General features: G+C 36.8%; 1 long non-coding RNA gene across 1 annotated transcript in view, besides 1 other annotated feature; it reads right to left on the reverse strand.

Annotated features, from left to right (window-relative positions):
* Positions 1-22,283, reverse strand: part of LOC124900950 (uncharacterized) — a 153,441-nt gene that overhangs the window by 34,430 nt on the left and 96,728 nt on the right. The window lies entirely within an intron of this gene.
* Positions 3,032-3,232: a silencer, noted in NCBI's record as "peak5181 fragment used in MPRA reporter construct". NCBI's record gives its function as "represses an SCP1 promoter by STARR-seq MPRAs in K562 erythroleukemia cells {active_cell/tissue: K562}" and the evidence as "EXISTENCE:reporter gene assay evidence [ECO:0000049][PMID:32103011]".

The following is a 22,283-nucleotide window of genomic DNA, read 5'->3' on the forward strand; positions in this document are numbered from 1 at the left end:
TATATACTTACTTGTGTTTTATTTATCTATATGTCATTGGTTTTTCTGTGCCATCTAAAAATAAATAATAATTTGCCACAAAATATTTCAGCATGTTGTAAGGTTAAAGAAAAAGCCTCCCACATATTTCATGAACCACATATAATACCCATGAATAACAATATTATAATATCATCTAATATTCATATAATGTTTAAATTTCCCGATACCTACACAGTTGTTTTAAACTTTTTTATTTTACTCTGCAGCTAGATCTAGTTGAGATTGAGGTAGAATTTTTCTTTCTCTTTCTTTCTTTCTTTCTTTCTTTCTTTCTTTCTTTCTTTCTTTCTTTCTCTTTCTCTTTCTCTTTCTTTCTTTTCCTTCCTTCCTTTCTTGCTTCCTTCTTCTTTCTTTCTTTCCTTCTTTCACAGGGTTTCATTGACACCCAGAATGGAACGCAATGGCATGATCATGGCTCACTATAGCCTCAACTCCTTGGGCTCACGTGAGCCCCAAACCCTGTTAGCCTCTTGACTAGCCAATTTTTAACTTTTTCTTTTTTTATTTTTGAAGAGACTGGATCACACTATGTTGCCCGGGCTGGTCTCAAACTCCTAAGCTCAAGGGATCCTTACACCTCAGTTTCCCAAAGTTCTGGAATCACAGGCATGAGCCACCACGCCCAGCCAAGGTGGAAATCTTGAAGTGAGACTTGGTGCACAAGCTGCTAGTCCTGAAAAGTAAGATACTTTAGTTGGCTCACAGGCTCATCTCCCAAGAGCTGATGTTTCCTAGAACGAAGAACTAAGCTGTTTTTCTCCCAACCTTAATATTTTAGCACAGAGACAGAGAAATTACTTGTTGATAATTTCCAAAACCTATTGAAAACAAAGAAAAATGAATCTGATATGCAGATTCAAAAACCTCCTGGTGAAAAAAAAAATTCCCCAAAGCTTTTTTAGTATACATATTTCCAATCCTACAAAAAAAGAAGGGTATAAGTATCACTCATACTCACTACATAGACTCAAAATTTTTAAATTGTTATCTTTTTATATCATCTACTTTAGCATATCTTGAGAGAAAGTATCTCTCTATATAAAACAAAACTAAGATCGTGCTTAAGAAAATTAATAATAAACCATAATACCATCTAAAGTTGAGTATAAATTCAAATTTTCTAGAGTCTGAAAAATGGATCTAAAGCTTTGTTAATTTCCTTCTAAACTAAGATCTGATCTTAGTTCTTGCATTATTTGGGTGTTTTTTCAGTTTAGCTTCTTTGTTCTAGAATAGTCCTTCGTCTTAGGTGAACTATTTACTGTAATTGAGTGTTGAAATTATCTGAGGACATCATTCTGTATTGCTATTCATATGGAAATTTATGTAAATAAATCATTTCTTCTAAGTATATTTCTAGCGCAAGTGTTTAAAATGCATGTATGAAATAACATCATTGGGACACACTAATGGGTCATTTAAGGAAGTCAAAACCAGAAAATTAATTAAATTGGTAGCAAAAGAAACATTGATTAAGATAATTACTACAAATTTTACATTGCAATTCATCATTCTTAGAAGCACTGGTTTCACTAAATGCATTCCAGCAGTTAACACTGTATTTAATGGAAGCTTATTTCATATCCTAGGTTGTCTATAAGAACATATAAAAACACTATCCAACATATAATTAATATCTTGAGGAAATGCACCATCACAATTTTTCTAAGCTATAGTGTGATGAACTGAAAGACTTTATAAAGCCATTTGGTGTAATTTCCATGCAAATTTAAAGAATTACATCTATATCATCTGATATAGTTTGGATATTTTCCCCTGCCCAAATCCCATGTTGAATGTTAGTCCCCAGTGTCTTGTGGGAGGTGCTTGTCCTATCCTGGACAGCTGTCAATAACTTCACTAAATGGTAAATTGACTGATAGCTACATCCCACTTCACCCAAACTCTACCAGCCCATCTTCTCTTTAGAAATATTCTAAAATTGCCTAGACCACTCTAGTTCCTCTAAAAGTGAATGGAATATGGAGGAGACTGGAGGGCATCAGAAAAAAAGGATGGAAAGAGTAAAAAGGCAATATCATTTGAAACTTTGGTTACTATAAAAATAATCTTAATATTATTATATGTGTTAAAAACAGTTTAATCAATAATTAACTTCCCAATAAAGAAATAACCAGAACCAGATTGTTTCTCTGGTGAGTGCCCCAAAACATTTATTTATGAAATTATACCAATCATTTACAAGCTCTTTCACAAAACAGAAGCAGAGATAAGCACTTTCTAACTTGCTCTATGAGGCCCAAATCCATCAATTTATTAAAAAAAAACCTCCATATCACAACCAAATGGGATTTATTCTAGCTATGTATAGCTGGTTCAAATGCAAAAATAAGTAATTTAATCAAGCATATCAAGAGTTGATGAAAAATATTTGACAAAAATCCATATCCATTAATGATCAAAACTCTCAGTGATCTAGGATTAGAGGGAAGTGTCCTCAACTTGATACATTAATCATCAGAAGGTTTATAACTCACATCATGCTAAATGGTGAGAAACTCATTATTTCCTTCTAAGAGTGACAAAAGGTATGTTCTGTTTTTCACGCCTATTCAACATTATTAAAAGAACTAGCAAATGCAGTAAGAAAAGAAAAGGAAAAAAGGGAAGCCGTGAGAGACTGTGTCGGGAGCAACTGTGTCGGGAGCAACAGTGCCCTCCGGCCCAGATACTGCGCTTTTCCCATGGTCTTTGCAACTGGCAGACCAGGAGATTCCCTTTGGTGCCTGGCTTGGCGGGTCCCACCCTGACAGAGCCCAGCAAGCTAAGATCCACTGGCATGAAATTCTCATTGCTAGCAGAGCAGTCTCAGGTTGACCTGGGATGCTGAAGTTTGGTGGGAGGAAGGGTGTCTGCCACTGCTGAAGCTTGAGTAGGCAGTTTTACTATCACAGAGTAAACAAAGCTGCAGGGAAGTTCTAACTGGGCGGAGCCCACAGCAGTTCAGCAAGGCCACTAGGGCCAGACTGCCTATCTAGATTTTCTCCTCTCTGGGCAGGGCATCTCTGAAAAAAAGGCATCAGCCCCGGTCAGGCACATATAGATAAAACCTCCATCTTTCTGGGACAGAGCACCTGGGGGAAGCGGTGGCTGTGGGCGCAGCTTCAGCAGACTTAAACGTCACTGCCTGACAGCTCTTAAGCGAGCAGCGGTTCTCCCAGTACAGTGTTTGAGCTCTGATAAGGGACAGGCTGCCTCCTCAAGTGGGTCCCTGACTCCTGTGTATCCTGATGGGGAGATACCCCTCAGCAGGGGCCAACAGACACCTCATACAGGGGAGTTCTTGCTTACATCTGGCGCGTGCCTCTCTGTTACAAAGCTTCCAGAGGAAGGAACAGGCAGAAATCTTTGCTGTTCTGCAGTCTCCACTGGTGATATGCAGGCAAACAGGGTCTGGAGTGGACCTCCAGCAAACACCAGCAGACCTGCAGAAGAGGCGCCTGCCTGTTAGAAGGAAAACTAACAAACAGAAAGAAATAGTAACAACACCAACAAAAAGGATGTCTACTCAGAGATCCCATCCGAGGCTCACTAACATCAAAGAACAAAGGTAGATAAATCCACGAAGATGGAAAGAAACCAGCGCAAAAAGGCTAAAAACTCCAAAAACCAGAACACCTCTTCCCCTCCAAAGGATCACAAACCCTCACCAGCAAGGGAACAAAACTGGACGAAGAATGAGTTTGACGAATTGACAGAAGTAGGCTTCAGAAGGTGGGTAACGACAAACTCCTCTGAGCTAAAGGAGCATGTTCTAATCCAATGCAAGGAAGCTAAGAACCTTGAAGAAAGGTTAGATGAATTGCTAACTAGAATAACCAGTTTAGAGAAGACATAAATGACCTGATGGAGCTGAAAAACACAGCATGGGAACTTCACGAAGCATACACAAGTATCAATAGCTGAATCAATCAAGTGGAAGAAAGGATATCAAAGTTTGAAGATCAACTCAATGAAATAAAGCGAGAAGAAAAGATTAGAGAAAAAAGAGTGAAAAGAAACGAACAAAGCCTCCAAGAAATATGGGACTATGTGAAAAGACCAAATCTACATTTGATTGGTGTACCTGAAAGTGATGGGGAGGATGGAACCAAATGGGAAAACACTTTTCAGGATATTATCCAGGAGAACTTCCCCAACCTAGCAAGGCAGACCAACATTCAAATTCAGGAAATACGGAGAACACCACAAAGATACTCCTCGAGAAGAGCAACCCCAAGATACATAATTCAGATTCACCAAGGTTGAATGAAGGAAAAAATGTTAAGGGAAGCCAGAAAGAAAAGGCCGGGTTACCCACACAGGGAAGCCCATCAGACTAACAGTGGATCTCTCGGCAGAAACCCTACAAGCCAGAGGAGAGTGGGGGCCACTATTCAACATTCTGAAAGAAAATGATTTTCAACCCAGAATTTCATATCCAGCCAAACTAAGCTTCATAAGCAAAGGAGAAATAAAATCCTTTACAGACAAGCAAATGCTGAGAGATTTTCTCACCACCATGCCTGCCTTACAAGAACTCCTGAAGGAAGCACTAAACAGGGAAAGAAACAACTGGTACCAGCCATTGCAAAAATATACCAAATTGTAAAGCCCATCAACACTATGAAGAAACTGCATCTACTAATGGGCAAAATAACCAGCTAGCATCAAAATGACAGGATCAAATTCACACATAACAATATTAACCTTAAATATAAATGGGCTAAATGCCTCAATTAAAAGACACAGACTGGCAAATTCCATAAAGAGTCAAGACCCATCGGTGTGCTGTATTCAGCAGACGCATCTCCTGTGCAAAGACACACATAGGCTCAAAATAAAGGGATGGAGGAATATTTGCCAAGCAAATGGAAAGCCAAAAAAAAAAAAAAAAAAAAAAGCAGGGGTTACAATCCTAGTCTTTGATAAAACAGACTTTAAACCAACAAAGATCAAAGGAGACAAGAGCATTACATAATGGTAAAGGTATCAATGCAACAAGAAGAGCTAACTATCCTAAATATATACACACCCAATACAGGAGCACCCAGATTCATGAAGCAAGTTCTAAGAGACCTACAGAGAGATTTAGATGCCCACACAATGATAGTGGGAGACTTTAACACCCTACTGTCAACACTAGTCAGATCAACAAGACAGAAAATTAAGAAGGATATCCAGTACTGGAACTCAGCTCTGGACCAAGTGGACCTAATAGACATCTACAGAGCTCTCCACCATAAATCAACAGAACATACATGCTTCTCAGCACCACATCACACTTATTCTAAAATTGACCACATAATTGGAAGTAAAACACTCCTCAGCAAACGCAAAGAATGGAAATCTTAACAAACCGTCTCTCAGACCACAGTGCAATCACATTAGAACTCAGGATTCAGAAACTTACTCAAAACTGCACAACTACATGGAAACTGAACAACCTGTTTCTGAATGACTACTGGGTAAATAATGAATTGAAAGCAGAAATAAAGATGTTCTTTGAAACCAATGAGAACAAAGACACAATGTATCAGAATCTCTGAGACACATTTAAAACAATGTGTAGATGGAAATTTATAGCACGAAATGCTCACAAGAGATAGCAGGAAAGATCTAAAATTGATACCCTAACATCACAATTAAAAGAACTAGAGAATCAAGAGCAAAGAAATTCAAAAGGTAAGAGAAGACAAGAAATAACTAAGATCAGAGTGGAACTGAAGGAGATAGTGACACACAAAAAAAAACTCTTCAAAAAATCAATGAATGCAGAAGCTGGTTTTTCGAAAAGATGAAAAAAATTGATAGACCCCCAGCAAGACTAATAAACAAGAAAGGAGAGAAGAATCAAATAGACACAATAAAAACTGATACAGGGGATATCACCACTGATCCCACAGAAAACAAGCACCATCAGAGAACACTATAAACACTTCTATACAAATAAACTAGGAAATCTAGAAAAAATGGATAAATTCCTGGACACATACACCCTCCCAAGAGTAAACCAGAGAGAAGTCAAATCCCTTAATAGACCAATAACAAGTTCTGAAATTGAGGCAGTAATTAATAGCCTACCAACCAAAAAAAGTCCAGGGCCAGACAGATTCAGAGACAAATTTTACCAGAGGGACAAAGAGGAGCTGGTACCATTTCTTCTGAAACTATTCCAAACAATAGAAATAGAGGGAATCCTCCCTAACTCATTTTTTGAGATCAGCATCATCGTGACACCAAAACCTGGCAAAGACACAACAAAGAAAGAAAATTTTAGGCTAATATCCCAAATGAACATCGATGGGAAAATCCTCAGTAAAATCCTGGCAAACCAAATCCAGCAGCACATCAAAAAGCTTATCCACAGTGATCAAGTTGGCTTCATCCATGGGATGCAAGGCTGGTTCAACATACACAAATCAATAAACATAATCCATCACATAAACAGAACCAATGCCAAATCCACATGATTATCTCGATGCAGAAAAGGCATCTGACAAAATTCAACAGCCTTTCATGCTAAAAACTCTCAATAAACTAGGTATTCATGGAACATATTTCAAAATAATAAGAGCTATTTATGACAAACCCACAGCCAATATCATACTGAATGAGCAAAAACTGGAAGCATTCCCTTTGAAAACCAGCACAAGACAAGGATGCCCTCTCTCACTCCTCCTATTCAACATAGTATTGGAAATTCTGGCCAGGGCAGTCAGGCAAGAGAAAGAAATAAAGGGCATTTAAGTAGGAAAAGAGGAAGTCAAATTTTCACTGTTTGCAGATGACATGATTGTATATTTGGAAAAACCCATTGTCTCATCTCCAAATCTCCTTAACCTGATGAACAACTTCAGCAAAGCCTCAGGATACAAAATCAATGTGCAAAAATCATAGGCATTCCTATACACCAATAACAGACAAACAGAGAGCCAAATCATGAGTGAACTCCCATTCACAATTGCTACAACGAGAATAAAATATCTAGAAATCCAACTTACAAGGGATGTGAAGGACCTCCTCAAGGAGAACTACAAACCACTGCTCAAGGAAATAAGAGAGGATACAAACAAATGGAAGAACATTCCATGCTCATGGATAGGAGGAATCAATATTGTGAAAATGGCCATACTGCCCAAAGTAATTTATAGATTCAATACTATCCCCATCAAAATACCATTGATTTTCTTTACAGAATTTGAAAAAAACTACTTTAAATTTCATATGGAATCAAAAAAGAGCCCACATAGCCAAGACAATCTTAAGCAAAAAGAACAAAGCTGGAGGCCTCACGCTACCTGACTTCAAACTATATTACAAGGGTACAGTAATCAAAACAGCAAGTACTGGTACCAAAACAGATAAGTAGACCAATGGAACAGAACAGAGGCCTCAGAAATAACACCACATATCTACAACCATCTGACCTTTGACAAACCTGACAAAAACAAGCAGTGGGGAAAGGATTCCCTATTTAATAAATGGTGTTGGGAAAACTGGCTAGCCATATGCAGAAAGCTGAAACTGGATCCATTCCTTACAGCTTATACAAAAATTAACTTAAGATGGATTAAAGACTTAAACATAAGACCTAAAACCATAAAAACCCTAGAAGAAAACTTAGGCAATACCATTCAGGACATAGGCATGGGCAAAGACTTCATGACTAAATCACCAAAAGCAAAAGTAGACAAATGGGATCTAGTTAAAATAAAGAGCTTCTGCACACCAAAATAAACTATCATCAGAGTGAACAGGCAACATACAAAATGGGAGAAAATTTTTGCAATGTCTCTATCTGACAAAGGGCTAATATCCAGAATCTACGAAGAACTTAAACAAATTTATAAGAAAAAAACACCATCAAAATGTGGGTGAAGGATACGAACAGACACTTCTCAAAAGAAGACATTTATGCAGCCAGCAAACATATGAAAAAATGCTCATCATCGCTGGTCATTAGAGAAATGCAAATCAAAACCTCAATAAGATACCATCTCCCACCATTTAGAATGGCGATCATTAAAAAGTGAGGAAACAACAGATGCTGGAGAGGATGTGGAGAAATAGAAACGCTTTTACACTGTTGGTGGGAGTGTAAATTAGTTCAACCATTGTGGAAGTCAGTGTGGTGATTTCTCAAGGATCTAGAACTAGAAATACCATTTTACTCAGCAATCTCATTACTGTGTATATACTCAAAGGATTATAAATCATTCTTCTACAAAGACACATGCACACGTATGATTATTATGGCACTATTCACAATAGCAAAGACTTGGAACCAAACCAAATGCTCATCAATGATAAACTAGATAAAGAAAATGTGGCACATATACACCATGGACTACTATTCAGCCATAAAAAAGGATGAGTTCATGTCCTTTGCAGGGACATGGATGAAGCTGGAAACCATCATTCTCAGCACATTAACACAACAGAAAACCAAACACTGCATGTTCTCACTCATAAGCAGGAGGTGAACAATGAGAACACATGGACACAGGGAGGGGAACATCACACACTGGGGCCTGTCGGGGCTTGGGGGGCTAGGGAAGGGATAGCATTGGGAAAAATACCTAATGTAGATGACAGGTTGATTGGTGCAGCAAACCACCATGGCACATGTATACGTATATAACAACCTGCACGTTCTGCACTTGTACCCCAGAACTTAAAGTATAATAAAAAAATAAATAAAATAAAATTCCATTTTATAGAAAATATAATGCATCTTAAGAAAAAAAGAAACAAAAAGGAAAATAAAAAATACACAGATTGGGAAATACGAAACACATTTTTGTTGTTGTTTTGTTTTGTTTTTCTTCTACAGAAGTCATCGTTTACGTAAAAAATTCCAAAGAATCAACGCTTCCTTTAAACCTATAGTATCCAAAATACATTGGTATTTGCAAAATAATAGGCAAATAGATCAAGGGGACAAAAGAGGTGGCCCAGAAATAGACCCCCACCAATATAGTCAACTGATCTTTGACAGAAATGCAAGGCCAATTCAATGAAGAAAGGACAGTCATTTTTTTGAAAGGAACAACTAGACATGTACAGAAAAAAATTAATCTAGGCCCAGACCTCATATTGTTCACAATAATTAACTCAAAATGGATCCCAAATCAATTTGTGAACTGCAAATCTATAAAACTTCTAAAGTCAGCACACATAGGTGAAAATCTAGATGATGTTGAGTTTTTTGATGAGTTTTTAGGTACAATATCAAAAGCACAATCTATGAAGGAACAAAAAAGATAACTTAGAGCTCAGTACAATTAAAATTTTCTGATCTGCAAAAAGATACTGTGAATGGAATGAAAGATGAGCCACAGACTGGGCGAAAATGTTTGCAAAACATATATTTGATAAAGGACTGTTATTCTAAATATACAAAGAACACCTTATAATTCAATAATAAGAAACAAATGATCCAATCAAAAATGGGCAAAAAATCTGAACAGACACCTCATCAAACAATCTATACAAATGGCAAATAAACCTATGAAAAGGTGCCCAACATCATTTGTCATTAGCGAATTGCAAATTAACAGCAATGTGCTACACCTGCACATGCATTACAATGGCTAAAATCCTCCAAACTGACTACACCAAATTCTGATGAAGATGCAGAGCAATAGGAATGTTTACTCATTGCTGATAAGAATGCAAAATGGAACAGCCCCTTAGGAAACTTTACAAGTTTCTTTCAAAGCTAAAAATAGAGTTTTAACATATGTTCCAGCTATGCTACTCCTTAGATATTTACCAAAATGAGTTGAAAATTTATGTCTGCACAAAAACTGCACTTGAGTGTTTATAGTAGCTTTATTCATAATTGCCTCAAACTGGAAGCAGCCAAGATGTCTTTCAATAGGTGAATGGATAAACAAATTGTGGTACATCCTTATAATAGAATACTGTTGAACAATCAAAGAAATTATCAAGTTTTGGCCAGGCATGGTGGCTCACACTTGTAATCCCAGCACTTTGAGAGGCTGAGGAGGGTGAATTGCTTGGGCCTAGTAGTTTGAGACCAGCTAGGGCAAATGGCGAAATCTGATCTCTAGAAAAAATGCAAAAAGTTAGCCAGGCCTGGTGGCACATGCCTGTAGTCCCAGCTACCTGGGAAGCTAAAGTGGGAGGATCACCTGAGCCTGAGAGGTTGAGGCTACTGTGAGGTGTGATGTCACCTCTACCCTCAGTCTGGGCAACAGAGTGAAACCCTGTCTCAAAAACAAAAACAAAAACAAAAACAAAAAAAAAACAAAAAAAGAGAGTGGAGGCCAGGCTTGATGGCTCACGCCTGTAATCCCAGCACTTTGGGAGACTGAAGTGGATGGATCACGAGGTCAGGAGTTTGAGACCAGCCTGGCCAACATGATGAAACCCTGTCTCTACTAAAAATACAAAAATTAGCCAGGCATGATGGTGGGCACCTGTAATCCCAGCTACTTGGGAGGCTGAGGCAGGAGAATCACTTGAAACTGGAAAGTGGAGGTTGCAGTGAGCTGAGATCGAGCCACTGCACTCCAACCTGGGTGAAAGAGTGAAACTCTATCTCAAAAAAAAAAAAAAAAAAAAAAAAAAGAAGAGGTGAGAGAGAGAGAGAGAGAAAGAGAAATTATCAAGCCACAAAAAGACATGGAGGAACCTTAAATACATATTCCTAAATTTCCTAAGTGAAATAAGCCAGTCTGCAAAGGTTACAAACTATATGATCCCAACTGTATGTATTCTAGAAAAGGAAAAGGTCAGTGATTGCTATGGGTTCAGGGGAAAGGAGAGGAATAAACAGGTGAAGCAGAGAGAGATTTTAGGGCTGTGAAGTTATTCTGTACTGTCCTCTGGATATGTGATCTTATGCATTCATCAAAACCCAGAGAGCTGTAAAATACAAATTGTGCACCCTAATGTTAACCCTGGACTTTAGTTAATTATAATGTATCAATAGTGGTTCATCAATTATGACAAAGGCGCCACACTAATGCAAGGTATTAATAGTAGAGGAGAGAGGGTATATGGAAACTTTCTGTACTATCTGCAGAATTTTTCTATAAATTTAAAACTACTCCAACAAATAAAGTCTATTCATGAATTTCTTTAAAGAACTAGAATCACCAGTCCATGTTCACATGTTTCAAGAGACACTCCCATGTTTTGAAAGAGGCATTCCAGTGAGGTGCTGTACACATGAAAAATCTTCTACCTCTTCCTACGCTCTTACAGCACTCATGACAGTTACAAGAATTGTCATATTGTGCTTTCATTTCATATCTGGTGGCCAGCAAGAACTCAGGAAACATATGTTAAAGACTGAAGGAAAAAAATGGCTGATTAAAGAATACAAAAAATAAATCTCATCAAAAGTCAGATTGATTTACTTTTTATTTCCTTTGTGAAAACCAGGCTTGTCTTCTGTCCATGTACTTGATGCTACAGTTATAACAAATTAGTCATAATTTCATATTCATGCCCTTATTACTTTCTGAATATTCCCTTTTCTGCCTTCTTGTCTGACCTGTATAGTTTCTCTTCTCTCAATCTCACCTCAAATATCAGTTTTATTACTAAGGCACCCTGCCCTGGTGCTTTCACAACATAATAGTTCCAAGTTCTACCAAATCTTTTTAGCGTTACATTGTAATTATTTTAATGTCTCTTACTCCTATAGGAGTGAGCAAATTGAGGCCAATAGAATGTTTTATTATGATATACCTATCCCTTTTCATAGTGCTTGATAGAATTCAAAATCAATTATTGGTACTGTGAATAAACTAATGAATGCTGCTGCTTTGCATGAATCATGTCATAGAAAACCTCTGCCTACCCATATTAATAAAAGTAGTCAATTGCAAAGAAGCCTAAGGCAATAGGCTGGATTTGTAATGAAGTAAATAAGACATAATTGCTAGAAGGCAAAATTGTGTAATTGAATGTGCATGGATTTTATATTAAAAATTATCCCACTCTGGTTGCACAATTTGTACCTTATGACATTGAAAAGTGAATATAATTACTCCTTTTTTTCATACATTAGAATATCATCATTTTTGCTTGGTTGCTGTAAGACTGAGTAACCAAATGTAAAAGAATCTAAAATGCCTGGCACATAAGAAGCCTTCCAAAGATAATATTTCAAATCTCCTTATTTTTTATGGGAAAGATGGGAACCCTGAGGACTAATCTCAGCTATTCCAGTTACAAGTGTTTTGATCTTGAATTAATTATGTAAAAATCCACGATCTTTGGTTTTTATTTATAAAAGAATCATCATGGCACTAAATGTTTATTATGGGGGTTAGATATCACACGTAAAGTTACTAGCAGAGTTCCTATTATACATAATAGCTCGACAAAGTATTAATCAGTTTAACATGAAAAGATGTTAACAAAAATAACTTGTTAGGCTGTAGCCTAAAGACAGAATGATTGAGTCCATACCAGGTACCCTCAATTCTAAAGCGTGGTGCTAATTCAGCTGATGAGGGTGCACTGGACTTTGTAGAGGTACTTCGGCTAGAGTCAGTCTGTCATCTATATTAAATATGTGAGTTGAGAGTGCTGAGGAGAAGAGGATTTTATTGCAGAGATTTTCATTGCAGTTGCACTATTGCCCAGTCCTTGAGAAGGGGAAATCTGGAATGAGTCCTTAATATCATGTATTGAGAGAGAGGCATTCAAGGAGACTGTCTGAAGAGGCTGACATGGGTGGCACTGGATATTGATAGATGCAGAGGAGCCATATGCGACTCCTAATTCGTAAGATTAAAGACATTTTCCCTTTCCTGGGGGCAGAATAAAGGGGAGGGGAGTATCATTAGGAATGCACTGTGCTTCCACTAAGAGATGGACAAAGTTTTGTGTCTTTCAACAGGCATCCCTTATGAGAGAAAGAGAGAGACAGATGGACTAATGCCAAGAGTAGAGCCTGGAGATAAAATGAACAAGAACCATGAGTACTGAGGAGCAATGTCACAAGGTGCTAGCCTAAAACATTGCTAGAAACAAAAAAACTTGGTCAAAGATTGTCTTTGCAGCATTCTCCAAGGAGTCTGTTTAAGTGTCAGCATTGGCTGCCTAGTTAATAAGAAAAGTAGTGACATCAATTTGTCATCATTTCTGCCAAGTCTTTGCTCTTTCTGTCAGGCCTACAAAATTGATCAGGCCTAAGTTGGATGAAAGTTTAAGATACTCAATACATTAGATTGAAATGGATTCCTTATTTTAGACTGCTATTTGTTTAAAGCCAAGAAAAATAGAACATTTATGCAGTCATTGTAACTTGATAAATCTAAGGAGCCTATTTTTTATTTCACTCAGAAATATGCTAAGAGAAAATTAACAGTGCAGAAATAATAAAATTGATTACTAAATTCAAAAACTATCATATTCATTTCCTTCAGTGAACCAATTATTTGTTAATGATGTATCATGGATATTTTAAGAGGTACATAAAACAATGAATGCTTCTTTTGAGTTATAGTCTTACAGAGAGAGTACTCATCAAGTCAACAAATATGTTTAATTCTTAATGTCTCAATATACTTCTACTGTACTTTTTACTAGACATCATCAGTGTTTTGACAACATTGAGTGAGTTATGCAACTAGAATTATAAACCACATGGCAATGAAAGTAGACTCAGTCAACCATGACTGGCCAGATTGGCATCAAGAAAATTGTCATTACAATGAAATTTTGATTTTGAAAAGACAGAGAAAAATCAAGAAAAAAATGGGCAGAAGCGAGAAAAGAATATAAGTTTAGGTGGATTTGAAAAAAATGTGGACCCTAGATAACATAAAATCTAAATGGCTTTAGAACTTCAATCAATACCCTTTACATCTTGTTATCTTGTCTGTACTGACATATTTCAGCTTTCTCAAGAATTGCATGTCCCTTGACAAGTATGTGTGTGTGTGTGTGTGTGTAAACTACACAACAAACACACACATATATGTAGTTTATATATATACATACACACATATATATGAAGTTTGTGTGTGTGTGTGTGTGTGTGTGTTTACTCAAATGCCCTTTTGCTAGTTCTTCTTGTTGATGTTGAAGTTGGTGGTGGGTTGTGAGTGATGTTTGAGTTTTGACATTTTTTGTTATGATAAAGAAAAGTATCCATTCTAATGAGAGTAATTGATATCTGGATGTTATTTAGGGTCTTCCCATATCATAGGATTAACCAAGCAGCATCTGGTACTAGTGGCTATTTAGAAAAGTTAATCTGTTCCATAGGAAAAGAGGCACTCATTTTAAAACATGAGTCATGTAGCTATTCCTAGTCCTTTTATTTCCTTTTACAATCCAAAACACTGCTGGGACATGTCTCAGGAAAAGAATTATCATTGTCTATAATTAGACATTTAATATACTGACTCATAAGAAGTGTTTGGACATCCAAGGCATCAATGAGTCAATTATATTTTTAATCTTTAAAACTGCTACTGAAACAGTGCTGCTGAGAGTCATTACTCTTGATTAATAGCAAAGCATACTTTTTAGAAGAAAAAGCCTGTATTTCTCTTTGATTTCTAACTGCACACACATGCTAATTGCCACGGAGAGTTTATTTAGCTGGACGTTTGGGACATGTGGGTTACATTTTTATAGCTACTTCAGACAGAAAATCTTTTCAGTATATTCTACACAGCTAGGCAACAAAGAGGAAGAGGGCAATTTACAACTGGAAGTTCTTCTAATCCTCCTTCATTAATTGTGCCTTAATGAAATGATATATCTTAGTGGAATCCATAATAACAGTAATTTCTGTTCCCACAAGTAAGCCTTTCAGAATGAAATTATCACATTTTCTATATTCAGAAATTTGCCAAAATAAACTTTGGAAAACATGTGTGACTCTGTACCATATTGTCTGCAGCCCCAAAACTGACAGCATTTGGCTTATATTGCATCATTCAAACCTCACTTGTATTGAAATGCTCTACTACTGAATTTGTAATAGCAAATGAGACTTGCAGAAAGCTTCATCCAGAGAGTCATGTTCTTCTGTAAACGTGATAATTGCCCTCATTTGACTACTGATTCATTTGGCTTTCCTATGGATAATTAAGAACCAAAGACCTGTGGTAATCACCTGACTGCATGGTATTCTGAACATTTGCAACATCCTGTTTAAAGCATACCAATTATATTAATACACATTTTGCAAAAGCTTTGTTTAAATCAAAAAGTGCTTATTTTCTATTTACACTTGAAAGTTGAAGATAGCTACTATATTGTTCCTTGGTCAAGTATTATAATCAGTCATAATGTGATATAGTTTTAATTAATTAACAACTTAATTCTGACCCATTTTATTATAATATATGTGGAAATTTCCTCTAGATCCTTGTGTCAAAAATACAGAATTTCAGATATACATCTGTATTTTGATATATTACCAAGAAGCTTTTATTTTATATTAGATGTTTTAGATGACTGCCTGAAGAAAAAGAAAGGAATACTTTGTTCATAAATGATGAAATGACCAAATGAATCAATTGTATAGGCAACATTCTTTTTCTTTTTCTTTTCTTTTTTTTTTTTTGAGACAGAGTCTCTCTGTGTCGCCAGGCTGGAGTGTAGTGGCATGATCTCGGCTCACTGTAACCTCTGCCTCCCAGGTTCAAGTGATTCTCCTGCCTCAGCCTCCTAAGTAGCTGGGACTACAGGTTCACACCACCATGCCCACCTGAATTTTGTATTTTCAGTAGAGATGGGGTTTCACCATGTTGGCCAGGATGGTCTTGATCTCTTGACCTCATGATCTGCCCTCCCCTGCCTCCCAAAGTGCTGGGATTACAGACGTAAGCTACCATGCAGGGCCGGCAACATTATTTTTCAAAGATATTCTGTTTGTTTAGTTAGTTAAATCCATTTTGATAATGTTTTAATTTTCATTTATGTTGGAATAATTCAACATTACCTAAAATTGAATTGTATTAATATTTTGCATTTGCATGAAACAATATTTACAGACATCAGCATTTTACTCTATCCATAAATTAATAATATTACATTCATCCAAAAAGTTGAATATTTTTTATAGGAAGGTAAATAGGGCAAAGGGAACAAAACGATTATTTGATAAATATGATTCAAGCTCTTAACTTCCTTGCCAAAAGAATTCTGATTTATTTCAGCGCTTTTCAGACATACCAAGAGCAACAGAGAGCTCAGGAATAATAGTTTCCTTCAATAGGTCCAAGGATACACTATGATGAGTCTCAGTCAATTGCAGTAATTCCATTTCCAGTTATCTGTTATTTGATAAGGATTAGGAAATGACAAATTCTAGTGACTCAGACGTCAGAAGACATGTGATGTGGGGCTTCTGGGAAAGATAACATTTGCATATTTAAGTAAAAGTAGAAAAACAAAAAGAAAACCACTTAATTCCTTTGAACGTATGGATGCTGTCACATGAAGACTTGGCACTTTGGCAAGTCTGTTGGGACAACTTTGTGAACCAAAAGCAATAACAGAAAATTACATTCTTCAATTGCTGAGCTAATGAATCAATGATTCTGGAACTGCCTCCTTCCAGAACTTTTATTCAGTGAAATAATCAACAACCTTAATGATGAAAATATTTTTAGTAGAATATTCTGTTTTTTTGCAGGAAAACATGATAAACATATTGTAAGAGATATGTGATAAGCACGTTGTAAGAGACACAAAAATTTAGACACAGTCTCTGACTTATAGACAGACTCCTCTGAAGATGCTCCTACCCTGAGCCCCTGAGAGGAAGCTATGATTTATCTGAATGATATATATTGGGAAAATATAACAATGTGATCAACTTCATCTTTTTCCTCTTGGAAACAAGGTGCCACAGAATGAGTATGTCCCTGTCCATCCTGCAACTGGGTGGGTGGGTCTGCCTAATCCTGAGTTTTGGGTGAGGAAGTGCTTTTAGGCTCTGTCTTCCAATTCTGCCCATCAGTGATAAAGTAGATATTTTGGTCTTCATCTACCAATCCTACTTTTGTCTCTCAATTAGTTCAGAACCTAAGTGGGAAGTAGGAGTGTTTTAATCAGTACCTCCTCAGCGGCAACAATGGGTTGAGTGAGTGATTAAAATTGAAAATAGACTTATTTCATTGAATGTTTTGCAGTCCACTTTGAACATACACGTGGATTTCTTAAGGGATGGCACTTTCAAGGCAAGAGAGTTTCTCCCCAATATCAAGTCCTCAACCCAAGTTCAGGTGTGAAAACAGATTCCACAAGTTTATCTGGCTTGCTACCTCAGATTCATTTTTGTCTCTTCTCTCTCTGCATTACAAACTTATATCTCTTTTATCTGTAGAATTTTCTTTGAGAATTTTTTCTTCAGTGCCACCTCAACTACTTTTGTCTAACTGTATTATCTAAACCACTACAGCTAGCTCCCCTATCCATAAAACTTAACAATAATAAAATAGAAAATCTTGGATTCAGATTCATAAGAAGTGGCTACTAATCATTATTAGATCAATAAAAAGTTGTATGACTTTGACTGTCCAAGCTCACAGTTTTTTTTTGCCTTAAATACTATACCACCTCCTAATTCTAACCTACATTTTGTGCAAACTGTGCCCTGCATAGAATACTTTCACATTACCTGCTACACTTTAATGGAATTTTGTGTTAATGAAATTTAAGGCCCTTCAGGATCTACATCACATTTTATTTGACTTTGTATTTCTAGCATCTTTCACAGTGTTTAACCTACAATAAGTGTTCAACAATTAGTTATTGAATTAATGTATAAAATTTTAATCTTTATTTGTCTCACATACCCATCAATAAAAATAAAATATCAATATCTGTTCTATTTACTGTTAATGATACATTTGCAATTACATGGCGAAAGTAAAGTGGACAAAGATAAAGCCATCAGAATTGGGGATAAAATTTCTAATATGAGAAAGGGATTTTATATATATGCATTATCCTTTGGCTGTTTCTATGATCTTTTGTGTTTCTTAAACAGCATGCCAAATATCAAGTAGGATATTGAGCTGAAGGAAAGAACACAGGATAAGGCCAAAATAAGCCTATCACAAATATGTCATTAGTGCCAAAGATTAGATCCAGCAGAAATCTCATTTTTTTTAATTCTAAGTTTTACCATATCTCAAAAATCCTGATAGGATTGCATAGCGTAGGGTTGATGGATCTCAATATGTTCATGTTCCCATGGTGATTCTGATGTGCAGCAAGGCCCAGCACTACTCTTTCTGTCAAATGAATACTCACCTTTTTAATTTGGTACATTTCAAGCAAACAGGAAATGATAGAGTTCTAAGTCCCAATAAAGACAACTTAATTACAAATACATTATTCTTCGAAATCAGCAGTATTGGTAGGTAGAAGAATTGGAATTTTTAAAAATCGTAATTGGTTCTTTTTCATAGTCACAATTCCCATTCTGCTAACAGGGTTGCTATGAGGATCCCATGAGATAATTTGAAAGTACTTTTTAAAATTATGAACTGCTATTGCTGCTGTTTTGCTATTTTGAAATAATGCTTCTAGTCTGATTATATTTCATCATTCAATGTCTCCTTCCCATAATGGCAAAGAGCTGAAGACTAGACAATTTTTTTTTTTTCAGAAGGACCCAGCATTCTGGAAGCCCCACCCTTTCAGGTCAAGTACCTGGGGACTGTGACTTTGACTCTATGAGCTTCACTTTTCCTATCTATACGAGAACTATAAAACCAATCACATCTCATTATTAGATGATATAACACATTTAAACTGCTTACCCCAATGCCTGATACATAACAGTAAGTACACATAATTAGTATAGAATATTAACAAAAAAAGTTGACAATGATGAATTCTTGCTTGTATATGTTCTTAAATCCCCTTGCCCACTTTACCTATCCAAATCCATCTCTTAAAAATTCCCAAGAGGAATCTTAACTTTTAGCCTGTCCAGTTTTCTCATCAGCTGTCATAATGGTCACTTTCATTTGGACATTAATCTTTTAATATTTTAAGCTGTTTTGTTTGCTACTACATGAAATTAACAGCCAAGCGCTATGATATCTATATGCTAAATATTTAATTATTTTCTTCATTTATTAATGTATCAATTTTTTATTGAATGCCTATTATGGTTCAGATGGCTCAGTCTGTGAAAAGCACTAGAAATAAAACAGTTGATAAATAGGTATTATAGGTTTTCTCAACTTAATGTGGGAAAAATAATTATACCATAAAAATCACAAAAAAAGCTAAGACAGAAAGAAGAAATTTGAAGAAGTGTAAACTATTGTCATGTGTGTGAGTAGGTGGGAGGGTTCTTATGTTATTGGTCAATATGGCATGCAAGTCCCAGTACAATAGTCAGAAACAGGCATCTGGAGAACTGAATAGATAGAGAGAATCTGTTACACAAAGAAAATGGTACTTTCAATAAAGAGAAAAGAACATGCAAAAATTGAGTTATGGCATCAATTTGTGACTGAAGGCATAAACACAATAGAAGAAGTCCACCATGGGCAGACAAGAAGTGGAGCTGCAGAGACGGGCAGGGACGAGCAAGACTATGCTGAATATGAAATAGTTACAATATCTTTGGAAGTTAAATGGGAAACTCTTGTGAAGTTTTAAGTATTGCAGGGACCAGTTTGGAGGACGTTGCATTAATCCAGATGAGACACAGAGATGGTGCAAAAATCCTATAGGTATTGGTATACCTGGTGATCTGATCTTTGACCCTCTGAATATTTCCAATAGCACATTTGAAATAATGGTTGTCCAAAACTTATATTTTGTATTGAAAAATGCTATAATAAATTTGTTTTTCCAGGTTTTTATAGATGGGATGCTTGTGTTCCCACAAAATTCCTACCTTGAAGCCCCAATTCTCAGTCAGACTGTTATTTTGAGATAGGACCTCTATGAAAGTAATTAAGGCTAAATGAAGGTATAAGGGTACAGCCCTACTTCAATAGGATTAATGTCCTTGTAGAAAGAAATAAGAGGCCAGGAATATCTTTCTCTTGGTGTGCACAAAAAAGAAAGGCCATGTCAGAACACAGGAATAAGGCAGCCATCTGTAAGTCAGGAAGTGGACCCTCACTAAAACCCAACCATCCTGACACTTTGATTTTGGACTTCCAACCACCAGAACTGTGAGAACATATATTTCTGTTGTTTTTATCACAGCAACCCCAGCAGACTGAGACACAGATAATCCCCAAAACATATGATTGTGCAAACGTCTAGGCACAGCCTGTAGACTACTCTGCATACTTAGTTCTACTGTCTTCCCGATTGGAATCAGTCTCATATTTGTGATCATTAAGTATGTTGCTTAGCATACCTATAATATTCCCTACCTCAAGGAAATGTGAAAATATATCCTAAGAACTTGCAAAAGTTAGTGAAGAAACTTGGTGAGATACAGAGTCATAGGAAGGCTCAAACATTAGGAATATTTTGAACAACATAAAATGTGTTTACCTGAGGTTAAGTTTAAGGGCCGAAGTTTGGAGGTGCACATCTAATCTACCATGCATGCAGTACTTTCTGGTGTTGATAGAAAGGAAAGTTTGAAAATATTTAATACAGAATAGTGAATATTTGGATATTTTAAGCTGTTTTCCTGATATTTAGGCAAAATAGGATTGGGTCGTTGGATGAGTTGGCATTGCATTACTCTTTCCCTCTGTCAATGGAATGGAATGGAATATAAAGCCTCACTATGCCAAATTTAACTATTCAGCCAGGTGTGGTGGCTCACGCCTGTAATCCCAGCACTTTGGGAGGTCAAGGCGGGCAGATCACTTGGGGTCAGGACTTTGAGACCAGCCTGGCCAAGATGATGAAACCCTGTCTCTACCAAAAATACAAAAAAAAAAAAAAAAAATAGCCAGGAATGCTGGCCACACCTGTAATCCCAGCTACCAGGGAGGCTGAGGCAGGAGAATCACTTGAACCCAGGAGGTGGAGGTTGAAATGGGCCAAGATTGCACCACTGCACTCCAGCTTGAGCGACAGAGTGAGACTTTGTCTCAAAAAAAAAAAAACACAAACAAACAAACAAACAAAATTTAACTATTCAACTTCAACTTTTTCAAGGATGTTTTTGACATGTAATTAGGGAAGCCTGTATTTTGGAAATAGGTTATTAAAGACTCTCTGATAGAATATATATTTAGCCAAAGAGAGTCATTAAGAGACTTTTGGAATTTCCTTTTATGTGTGTGTTTAATATTCTATTTAGATTGAACAAACAGATAATGGTGCCATTTGCTAAAATTCATATTTCTGAAGAAAAAATAGTTTGGTGGGTGGTTGAGTATCATTTCACTGTGCATCATTAACGTGGTTGGTATATATGTCCCCTCCAATTTTTATATTGAAATGTAATTCACAATATTGGAGGTGGGGCCTGATGGAAGGTGGGACCTGGTGGAGGGTGGGGCCTGGTGGAAGGTGATTGTGTCATAAGGTTAGATCCTTCATGAATGGTTTAGCACCATCCCCTTGGTGATAAGTGAGTTCTTTTTCAGTTAGTTCATGTGAGATCTGGTTGTTTAAAACAGTCTGGGACCTTCCCCGTCTCTCTCTTGTGCTCTCACTCTCACTATGTCACACACTTGCTCCCTCTTTCCCTTCCACCATGGTTATAAGCTTCCTGAGCCCTCACCAGGAACAAATCCCAGCTGCATACTTCCTGTACAGCCTACAGAATCAGGAGCCAAATTAAAACTCTTTTCTGTATAAATTACCCAGTCTTAAGTATTTCTTTCTCTGACACACAAGAAAAAACTAATACTAAAAATTGGTACTGAGAAGTGGGGCATTGCTTTAAAGATACCTGAAAATGTGGAAGCAGCTTTGGAACTGGGTAATGAGCAAAGGTTGGAAGAGTCTGGAGGGTTCAGGGGAAGACAGGAAGATGAGGGAAAGTTTGGAACATCTTAGAGACTTGCTAAGTGGTTGTGACCAAAATGCTGATAGAAATATAGACAGTGAAGGCCGAGCTGACACCGTCTCAGGTGGAAGTGAGGAAGTTATTGGAAAACTGGAGGAAGGTCACCTGTATTGTGTCCTAGCAAAGAATTTGGCTGCATTGTGTTCATGATCTAGGAATCTGTGGGAGTTTGAACTTAAAAATGATGACCTAGGGTATCTTATAGAAGAAATTTCTAAGCAGTAAAGTGTTCCAAAGGAAGCCTGGCTGCTTCTAACAGCCTATGACCAAATAA

Source organism: Homo sapiens, chromosome 5, assembly GCF_000001405.40.
Source record: "Homo sapiens chromosome 5, GRCh38.p14 Primary Assembly".
NCBI lineage: Eukaryota > Metazoa > Chordata > Mammalia > Primates > Hominidae > Homo > Homo sapiens.